Here is an 11953-nt window from a genome sequence, read left to right on the forward strand (position 1 = left end):
GACTCCGTCTCAAAAAAAAAAAAAGTTGCTGTTTTGGAATTATTCCCTCACAGTGCCCGCCCGCCCCCATACGTGCCTGAGGTGCGGTAGCATCCCTGGATATGCTGTAGTAACACCTTCCAAATTGTTTTCTGTGGGCTGTGTTTGGTTATCTCACTCACTGGACTGAGCATGACTTCCACAAAAAGTCTAGTTTATATTCCGGAAGCCAAACCATGCCTTGCACATAGTAACAAATGTTTGAAATAATGAAATTACCTTGTTTTAAACTTTGAGATTGTGTTTTGCCAAGCAAGTTAATTCTTACCCACACACTGGCCTAAAGAAATATGTGTAGAAGCTAGTAATAAGAGCAGACTTCACAGACAACCGGTGACATGTCCGTTTCTCAAGGGAGGGATTAATTTTTGGCCTACTGCAGGTTTGAAAAGTAGTATCCTTCAAGGACCTAGGTGTTTCTGTGTGCCAAGAATACTCCAGAGTGTTAAAATCAGGAGCTTAAAAATCACTCCTTTGCTAGTGTCAGCATGGCAAATGAAGGGAGCGAAACCTGCTCCAAAATATTTAAGCCAGGATTTCAGAGGAGCAAAAAGCTACTTAATAAACGTAATAGTTTATTCATCCCAGTCTGCGCAAGTGTCTCCGTGTACTTGTCCACTTTCCCTGTCTTTCAGCGCCTTTAATGAATGCTGTTCTTACTGTATAAAGCTAGACATAGAACAAAACCTCTGATTTGAAACATGTCCTTTCTGAGAGTTTTTATACCACTGCTCATTTACTTTAGCTTCAGCAGTTGTCTTATTTTTAACTAGAAAAAAGCCTCCTATATATAGTATGTATATATATACGTATGTATATGCGTGTATATATAAAATATAGAGAGCGAGCGTGTACCCTGCATTTTCTTTATGTCATAAACACATCCTTTGACATTAAATTTTTCCACAAACATTTTTAATTTTGAGAATTGGAATGGTCAGGAAAGAATAGACTTAAGGTCACCTACTTAAATCCTGGAGAAAGTGTACCATGAAGCTGCTGTATGTGAATAACTTCAGCATACGGATCTGAAAGAAATAGGATTAATAGGAACATTCAAAGACTTCAGGCAAATTCTTTCAGTATGGATCTAAAGTATAAACAGCTTATCAAGGCTCCTCTTTGATAAAAGCCTTTGAGATTATTTTTAGGATCATGTTAAAAGGACTTTTTAAAAATAACTATTGCTAATTCCTTTATGCACTTTACCTTTTATTAAATTTAATGAAGGGTGAACAGTGATCTCATATTAAAGCCAACACCAGCGTGAATCTTGCTTTTCCACTTTGCTTGAAATGTGGCTCTTTTGTAATTTACTATGAAGTTGGTTTGGCCAGTGTGAATGTTTTCAATTTAGGTTTCTATTTTTAAAGTCTCTGTGGTAAGATTTTCATATGAGAATGGACATACATTTAGAATTTAAAATCTTCTTTGGTAGAAACAACTGGAACCTTAATAATTTTTGGCGGGGTTGGGGGGGTTGTTTTTTTTTTTTGTTTAGAAACAGAGTCTCTCTCTCTCTCTGTTGCCCAGGCTGGAGTGCAGTGGCACAATCATAGCTCACTGCTTCCCCAACCTCCTGGACTCAAGCAATCTTCCCACCTCAGCCTTATGAGTAGCTGAAACTACAGGTGTGTGCCACCACACCTGGCTAATTAAAAATAATTTTTTTTTTTTTTTGTAGAGATAGGTCTTGCTGTGTTGCCCAGGCTGGTCTCAAACTCTTGGCCTCAAGAAATCCTCCTGCCTGGGCCTCCCAAAGTGCTGGGGTTACAGGGATAAGCCACCACACCTGGCCCATTAACAAAATTTTGATAATTGTTAAAATATGTTTTTACCTAGCTTAATGATATATAAAGCTGGTAGACTGATTTCTTTTTGTATCCTAAAAACTAAAACCAATAAACACAAATATGAAAAATGAAGCCAGGGAAAACTGTATTAGTGCTAGAAACTCAGGAAAAGACAGAAGGGGCAGACATAGCTAAAAATATGGCATTTCTGCCATAGCACCACATCTTAAAAGTTTTTTGTTGTTAATGGAGAGAAGGCGAAATAAAGACAACTGACAGTTCTCTCCTTGAGAAGGCAGATGGCCTCTTGGAAAGCTTGAATAGAAGATCTTGGGTATTAGGAACACACCATCATCTGAAGAAACAGGGATGGGCCATGGAGCAAATGAAGTTAATTTCCTTTGAAGTCACTTTGAATATGATGAAAATTGCACAAAGGAAACCTGAAGCGTAGGCTACCATGTTGACGGGGATGGAAGAAGATTCTGTCCAGAGACAGATTTGTTATAGCTGGTCTTGTTGCCAGGAAGGAGGCCGGATCACGCAGCCCTCATTCCCCTGGCTATTATGGGGGCTGAAGGGGGAAAATATGCAATTTTCAAAACATTATGGCACTGGTGCCAGAAGAGGCAGACAAGTCAGTGGAATTGAATACAACACCATAAATTGGCCCAAATATAATACACAACAGTTTGAGCATAAGTAAATGTGAAAAAGGATAGGTTTTTCAATAAGCTTTGAGTGAACTGGTTAACCACTTGGAGAAAAAAAAATCACATCTTAAAATTCTAGACTAAATATTGTTTATCCAAAATTTTATATATTTAGGATTTAAAATATTCTTTTGTATAAATTTTGGTACCAAAATAAAATGTTGATAATTGTGTGTTTTGACCTATCATATTACATTCCTGGATTATATTCTTCCCATCTTCTAGGATGACCATTTTTTGATAGGTTAAGAGTTTATTATTTCAACTGGCCAGTCAACTGGAAGCCCAGGAGCTTCCCCGATATTTTTGATAATGGTTATATGAGATCTGGTTTATCCTGATTTGCTCCTTTTTAATTTTCTGATGTCTCTTGTGCTGATTTTTCTCTTCAGAGCTTCTCATTATGGTACAGTCTCAATCTTTATACATTTTGTGACATTTCTGCCTATTTTCTGAGAACACATCACATCCTCTCATCTTCCTGTGCACACCATCGTCCCTTCTTTTCTGTTCTACTTCATAGTTTCTTCATCTCTGAAACTGAAATTAGCCATTATTTTTCTGAACCAAGGATGAATTATGCCATTAGAGGGCAGAAGAAGCTGCTTGTTCTTTAAACTAGCAACTGTTTCCCCCTCTGCAATTTTTTAAAATTACAATCTCAATTATTACACAAATAAACATCTGAAAATTTTAAATGCCACTAGCAGCCGGGTGCGGTGGCTCATGCCTGTAATCCTAGCACTTTGAGAGGCTGAGGCGGGTGGATCACTTGAGGCCAGGAGTTCAAGACGAGCCTGGCCAACATGGTGAAACCCCATCTCTACTAAAAATACAAAAAAAAAAAAAAAAAAAAAATTAGATGGGCATGGTGGTGCACACCTGTAATCTCAGCTACTAGGGAGGCTGAGAATCACTCCAACCCCGGAGCTGGAGATTGCGGTGAGCCACTGCACTCCAGCTTGGGTGACATAGTGCGACCCTGTCAAAAAAAAAAAAAAAGCCACTAACAATAAAACAGAAATGCCAACAAAACAAAATTCTGGTGCCTTCAGGCATTTAGAGTTACCTTTAAGTCCAAAACCAGTGTGATTCTCCATCTTCCCCCTCCCCCCACCGATATTGACTTTTCTACCAGGATATGTCTGTGGTAGTTAGCATTTTCATTAAATTTGCCCAGATCATAATACATTCTCAATTTTGCAGGCTTTAAGAATTTAATTTTTCTCACAAAGTTGTACATTGTTTAAAAAGTCATAAAGTTCTTCAGGACTTACAACAGGCCGGGTGTGATGGCTCACGCCTGTAATCCCAGCACTCTGGAAGTCGCGGTGGGCAGATCATCTGAGGTCAGAAGTTCAAGACCAGCCTGGCCATGGTGAAACCCCGTCTCTACTAAAAATACAAAAAATTAGCCGAGCATGGTGGTGCACGCCTGTAATCCCAGCTACTCAGGAGGCTGAGGCAGGAGAATCACTTGAACCCGGGAGGCGGAGGTTGCAGTGAGCCAAGATCACACCATTGCACTCCAGCCTGAGCAACAAGAGCGAAACTCCATCTCAAAAAAAAAAAAAAAAAAAAAGACTTACAACAAAAACTTCATTCTCCTACTCTAATTAATTATATGCTGACTAATTCTTTACAGGCCATTTCAACTCTGCTAGTTCTTTCTTTAAAAAAGAAAAGAAGAATGTTATATGTAAATAACACACTCCTCCTATTACTTGATTTTTCAGTCTCAAGTATGAGCCACAATTGACTTTAGCAACACCCACACACATACACCTCTACCCTCTCCCACCCTCTCAATAAAAGTTTTACCATTTGGATTAAATAAAAATGGTGGTATACATTATTATATATCTATATAAACAGTTCCACATTGAGTCACTTGGTATAGTAGGATTGCTTTCATGTAAAATGTTGTTTTTCCTGGAATTAATATCAACTCCCGTTTCAAAAGTTTGATTTTCTATGGCTCACTGGAAACAAACCTCCTCCCAGGATATTCAAATAAGTGTTCATCAGTTTTACCCTTTTTCTTGGGATATTCCCCTCCAGAACCTTCTTTCTACCTATCTAATAAAAATTGGGGCCAGGCCCAGTGGCTCATGCCTATAATCCCAGCACTTTGGGAGGCCGAGGTGGGAGGATCAATTGAGGTCAGGAGTTTGAGACCAGCCTGGCCAGCATGGTGGAACCCTGTCTCTACCAATAATACAAAAATTAGCCAGACGTGGTGGCACGCACCTTGTAATCCCAGCTACTCAGGAGGCTGAGGCTGGAGAATTGCTTGAACCTGCGAGGTGGAGGTTGCAGTGAGCAGAGATCACACCACTGCACTCCAGCCTGGGTGACAAGAATGAGAGAATCCATCTCGAAAAAAAAAAAAATGGCTGGGCACAGTGGCTCATGCCTATAACCCCAGCACTTTGAGAGGCCAACATGGGCCGATCAGTTGAGGTCAGATTGAGACTATCCTGGCCAACATGGTAAAAGCCTGTCTTTACTAAAAATACAAAAATTCGCTGGGGGTGGTGGCGCACGCCTGTAGTCCCAGCTACTTGGGAGGCTGAGGCAGGAGAATCGCTTGAACCCGGGAGGCAGGTGTTGCGGTGAGCCGAGATCGTGCCACTGCACTCCAGCCTGGCAACAGAGTGAGACTTTGTCTCGGCAACAACAACAAAGATTGGTTGCCCTCTAGACGTACCCCAAAACTGCCTGCTCCTGGGTCTTCCCCTCGCCCTCTCTTCTGCATTAGATCTTTGCCTTCCATCCTGTGTCTTTCTCTTCCTAGGTTTGCTTCCTCATTTGAGGTGGAGGACATGTGCTCTAGTAAGTTACTGCGGAAGGGTACCTGGGAGGTAAAATTTTTCAGAGCCTAAAATGTCACAAATGTTCTTACTCTACCCCGACACTTGATTTATGGTTTGGTTGGGCATAGAATTCTGCACTGGAAATCATTTGCATTCATACCTGGAGGCATTTCTCTATCATAATCCTGCTTCTGGCATTGCTAACCAGGCGTTCAAGCCATTCTGACTCCTAATCCATTTATATGCAATTTTTGCAATATTTTCCCCTCCCAGGATTCTTTGGTAACTTCCTTTTAACCTAGGTACATTTAGAAAATCCAATGTTGTGATGATGACGTTGCGACCCTTTTAAAATATACTTTGCCAAGTGCTCTATGAGCCCTTTCTTTCATGTCTTTCATGAAATTATGTCTTTTATGATTTTCTTGGAAACATTATTTTATTACTTGTGGGATAATACTCTCCATTCCATTTTTTTCTGCTTTCTTTTTTTGGGACTCATTATTTTGATATTAGATTTTCTGGACTGATCCTCTACTATTTTCCATTCTTGTGTTTTGTTTTGTTTTGTTTGACCAGGTTGGAGTGCAGTCATAGCTCACTGCAGCCTTGACCTCCTGGGCTCAAGCGACCTTCCCGCCTCAGCCTCCTGAATAACTGGGACCACAGGCACACGCACCACACCTGGCTAATTTTTTATTTTTTGTAGAAGTAGGGTCTCTCCATGTTGCCCAGGCTGGTCTCAAACTCGTGGGCTCAAGTGATCCACCTGCTTCAGCCTTCCAAAGTGCTGGGATTACAGGCGTGAACCAGTGCGCCCACCCTCCACTCATATTTTTTGTTGTGACGTTTCCTCAACACTTCAGTTCTTTACTTCTGCTGGCATATTTACAATTTCTTTTTTTCTTTTTCTTTTCTTTCTTTCTTTTCTTTCTTTCTTTTTTTTTTTTTTTTGAGATGGAATTTTACTCTGTCTCCAAGGCTGGAGTGCAATGGTACAATCTTGGTTCACTGCAACCTCTGCCTCCTGGGTTCAAGCGATTCTCCTGCCTCAGACTCCCGAGTAGCTGGGATTACAGGCGCCTGCCACTGCACCAAGCTAATTTTTGTATTTTTTAGTAAAGGCAGGGTTTCACCATGTTGGCCAGGCTGGTCTCGAGCTCCTGACCTCAGGTGATCCACTCGCCTCAGCCTCCCAAAATGCTGGGATTACAGGTGTAAGCCACCACGTCTGGCCCATATTTACAATTTCTCAGGGTTCTATTTTTTTATTTCCTGATTGTTCCCCTTTTCATAACATTCTATTCTTTTTCATGGCTATAATAGGACTTGTAAAGATATTCATTTTGTTGAGGTTTTCTTCTGCTCTTCAAGTTAGAAATTTGTGAGATATGACAAGAGAGTTCTATTATAGAGTGATCTGAGTGTACCACTTCACTGAGGATCTTCCCGGCATTTTTTCTTGTGGTTAGTTTCTTCCAGAGGGGAATCCTCCACTCTTTAGAATGGGGATGAAAAACTATAGTATAATTACAAATCCAGCTACCAGGAATTTTTTGGAGCCAAGTAAGCTTCCATTCAGTATATATAGACAGACTCCATCCTGCTCTTTCCAGTACAGCACCCCTATCCACTTGATGTCCTCAAGTCCAGAGTCCTTCTATTCTTTGGTACCCAAAAGGGCTGCATATTTTGGACTACTTAGAGAGCTTTAAGACATACTGAAGGCTGTATACCTTACCCAGAGTTTTTACTTTAATACATCTGGTGGGGTGGTCTGAACATCAGTCTTTTAAAATCTCTCCAGGTGACTCCAATGTGCAGCCAAGGTTGAGAACCACTGCTCTAGTTGAACCTCTCCAGAGAGTAAGCCTCTAACTTCTGCCAAGGTGTGCTGCTTTGTGTTAACCCTTTGGACCTATCTGCATTCTGGCTTTCAGTGTTCTTTTTTTATTATTTTTTATTTTTTGAGACGGAGTTTTGCTCTTGTCCCCCAGGCTGGAGTGCAATGGCATGATCTTGGCTCACTGCAACCTTCGCCTCCTGCGTTCAAGCGATTCTCCCACCGCAGCCTCCTGAGTAGCTGGGATTACAAGTGTGTGCCACCACGCCCCACTAATTTTTTTTTTTTTTTTGAGACGGAATCTCACTCTGTCGCCCAGGCTGGAGTACAATGGCATGATCTCGGCTCACTGCAACCTCCACCTCCCAGGTTCAAGCGATTCTTGTGCCTCAGCCTCCCGAGTGGCTGGAATTACAGGCGTGTGGCATCACACCTGGCTAATTTTTGTATTTTTAGTAGAGATGGGGTTTCACCGTCTTGGCCAGGTTGGTATTGAAGTCCTGACCTCATGATCCACCCGCCTTGGCCTCCCAAAGTGCTGGGATTACAGGCGTGAACCACCGCACCCAGCCTAGAGTTCTCTCTTGCCTGCATATTCTGATTCACTTTAGGCTTCTAGGTTATGAGTCATCTGGTTTTTAGGCTTCTGATTCAGACCTCTGGTTTTCTGGTCAGCTTACCCCTTGTTCACATGAATTTCACCTTTCAAAAATGTGTTGCGATTATTTCCTCTTCTGCTCTCCCTGTTTGTGCCTTGTTTGACCTTTTATTATCATTACAGTGCACTCTGGAGAAGGAAGGAAGAATATTCGATCCACCATGCTTCGCTGGAATTTCTGTCCTACTCCGTGTCATTAACAGTCATGTTAAAATGTCAGCAGGGGGCTTGCCAAGCCAGATTTAGCAAAAATTGAACCTGTAGAACATCAAAGATTTCCCCAAGACGCTGTAAATTTCTAGGCTGCTTATGTTTTCAAGGCCATTCTAGATTGGTTATTTCTGGCTCCTTGATCAACCATATCAACTTAAGTTCTTTCTATAGATTAAGAAAGTTGTCTTTCATTATTTCTTTTTCTTCTCCAACACCACCACCACCACCATTTTTTTCTTTCTTTTAGTGACTCTGATTGTTTGTAGGGTGTAGCTAAGGGATTTGTCTTCCATATACCTTTTTCTGCCTCTCTTTTTTTGTTTTGTTTTTGTTTTTGTTTTGAGATTGGATCTTGCTGTGCCACCCAGGCTGGAGTGCAGTGGCATGATCACACCTCACTACAGCCTCGACCTCCTGGGCTCAAGCGATCCCCACAACCCTGCCTCAGCCTCCTGAGTTACTGGCACCACAGAACGTGCCACCACACCCAGCTAATTTTTTAATTGTTTTGTAGAAATGGGGATCTCCCTTATATTGTTCAGACTGATCTCAAACTCCTGGCTCAACCAATCCTCCCACCTCAGCCTCCCAAAGGGCTGGGATTACAAGCTTGAGCCACTGCGCCCAGCCCTCGGCAAACTTTTAAATCATTTTTTAAGGTTTCTTTCTGTTGGATAAATCATAGTTTATTTTCCCTAATTCAATGATCTTCATATACAGTCTGCCATTCAGTTTCTCCTTTGTGACTTTTCATTTCAAAACCACCTCTCTCATCTCCATTCCGTCTTCCTTTGCTGCTCCTTTTCTAGGACAACTTGATCAAGTTACATAGATGTAGAATCCACTTCAGTCTTGCTGAGAACATAAAACTGACGTTGGCTCTAATTTTTTGTTATTGTTTCTGAGGAATAGATTTCTGAAGGAGAAAGCAACTCTGAGGCCCCACATACTTGTCATTTAAGTTTTTGGTGTGTGTGTGTGTGTGTGTGTGTGTGTGTGTGTGTGTGTGTGTGTGTTTCTAAAGATGAGGTCCTGTAATCCCAGCACTTTGGGAGCCTGAGGCAGGCAGATTACTTGAGTCAGGAGTTTGAGACCAGCCTGGCCAACATAGTGAAACCCCGTCTCTACTGAAAAAAAAAAAAAATTAGCCTGGTGTGGTGGTGCATGCTTGTAATCCCAGCTACTCAGGAGGCTGAGGTAGGAGAATTGTGTGAACCTAGGAGGCAGAGGCTGCAGTGAGCTGAGATCATGCACTCCACCCTGGGGCACAGAGTGAGACTCTCTCAAAAAAAAAAAAAAAAAAAAAAGAAAAAAGAAAAAATAGTAGTAATAAAATTAAAAATAAAAATTAACAAAAATTAGCCGGGTGAGGTGGCACACACCTGTAATCCCAGCTACTCAGGAGGCTGAGGCAGGAGAATCGCTTGAACCTGGGAGGCAGAGGTTGCAGTGAGCCAAGATCACACCATTGCACTCCACCCTGGGTGACAGAGCAAGACTCTGTCTCAAAATAAAGAAAGAAAGAAAGATGAGGTCTTGCTATGTTGCCCAGGCTGGTCTTTAACTCCTGGTCTCAAGCAATCCTCCCGCCTTGGCCTCCCAAAGTGCTGGGATTACAAGCATAAGCCATTTCACCCAGCCTAGTTTTAAAATTACAGCCCTTTTCTCATAGACCTATTTATTATCCATACAGAGGGAGAGCTATTTGACTTTTTATTCTTTTTTATTTTATTTTATTATTGTTATTTTTTTGAGACACGGTCTCACTCTGTCATCTAGGCTGGAGTGCAGTAGCGGGATCTTAGCTCACTGCAACCTCCGCCTCCCAGGTCAAGCGATCCTTCTACCTCAGCCTCCTGGGTAGCTGGGACCACAGGCACACGCCACCACGCCCAGCTAATTTTTGTATTTTTTGTAGAGATGCGATTTTGCCATGTGGCCCAGGCTGGTCTCAAACTCCTGACCTCGGGTGATCCGCCCGCCTCAGCCTCCCAAAGTGCTGGGATTACAGGCGTGAGCCACAGCAGCCATCTGACTTTTCTTTTTAATGAAAAAATTTCAATCACTTCATGGCATCTTCATGGCATCTTGTTCTTCTCCTTTTTGCTTTTCTTCTTTATTTAAAGCAACATCTATTTTTGTTCTTCTGATTTCAAAAGTAACACACATTTGTTTTGGACGATTTGGGAATCACAGAAAAACACAAAGAAGAAAATTAAAATTAATTTCACAAGCCAATGATATTTTACTTCCAGTTTTTCTAGGTATTTATATGTAATTATCCTGATTCTTTTAACAATTTTAATCACTACTATTTTTATTTTTATTTTACGAATGTATAATACATTCACACGGTTCAAAAATTGTGTATGTGACAAGAGAAAAGGAAAAGGAAAAATACGTATGTATATATAAAGAAGTCTTTCAACACCTGTTTGTACAGCTTCCATCAATAACCACATCTAGGCTGGGAGCAGTGGCTCATACCTGTAATCCCAGCACTTTGGGAGGCCAAGATGGGAGGATTGCTTGAGCCCAGGGTTTGAGACTAGCCTGGGCAACATAGCAAGGTCCTATCTCTACCAAAAATTTAAAAATTATTTGGGCGTGGCAGCACATGTCTCTAGTCCTAGCTGCTTGGGACTCTAAGGCGGTAGAATCACTTGAACACAGGAGGTCAAGGCTGCATTTGAGCTATGATCACACCACTGCACTCCAGCCTGGGGACCTGCTGAGACGCTGTCTCAAAATAAACAAACAACCACACCTAGCCCCACCCCAGATGACCTCTCCGCTATTAGGTTCTTGTATATCGTTCCAAATTTTCTTTATACCTATACTAACACACACACACACACACGCGCGGATATATGCATGCACACTCACACAAACACTTAATACCTTTTTTTTTTTTTTGAGATGGAGTCTCGATCTGTCACCCAGGCTGGAGTGCAATGGTGCAATCTCAGCTCACTGCAACCTCTGCCTCCCGAGTAGCTGGGATTCAGGCACATGCCACCACACCTGGTTAATTTTTGTATTTTCAGTGGAGACGGGTTCCACCATGTTGGCTAGCCTGGTCTTGAAATCCTGACCTCTAGTGATCTGCCCACCTCGGCCTCCCAAAGTGTTGGGATTACAGGCGTGAGCCAACATGCCCGGCTATTTTTTTGTCTGTTTTTAAATTTAACTTTATTTATTTATTTACTTACTTACTTACTTACTTATTTATTGAGACCAAATCTTGCTCTGTCGCCCAGGATGGAGTACAGTGGCACAATCTCAGCTCACTGCAACCTCTGCCTCTGCCTCCCAGGTTCAAGTGATCCTCCTGCCTCAGCCTCCCGAGTAGCTGGGACTACAGGCATGTGCCACCACACCTGGCTAATTTTTGTAATTTTTGTAAAGACGGGGTTTCACCACGTTGGCCAGGCTGGTCTGGAACTCCTGACCTCAGGTGATCCACCCGCCTCGGCTTCCCAAAGTGCTGGGAATATAGGTGTGAGCCACCACACCCAGCCTCACACACACTTAATACCTTTCCTTTTTATACGAATCATAGAGTACTAAGCACACTGTCTTCCTCCTTGCTATTTTCACTTAACTATATACCTGAACATCTTTCTTTATGAATACATAGACAGATTTTCTATTTTTTATAGCTGCACGATATTCCATTGTGTATTGATATAACATTATTTAAGTGGTCACTTACTGATAATTTAGATTGTCAACGTTTGCTGTTACACATAGGGTTAAGTACATTCACACTAAATTTGACAGTGTTTCTCTCTTGGTTTAATTATTGTTTCAAATGTTCAAACAGACATCATGGGCAATTTTAAAAAATTTTTTAACATGAATCATATTATACAATA

This window comes from Homo sapiens, chromosome 16 (genome assembly GCF_000001405.40).
Source record: "Homo sapiens chromosome 16, GRCh38.p14 Primary Assembly".
Classification (NCBI taxonomy): Eukaryota; Metazoa; Chordata; class Mammalia; order Primates; family Hominidae; genus Homo; species Homo sapiens.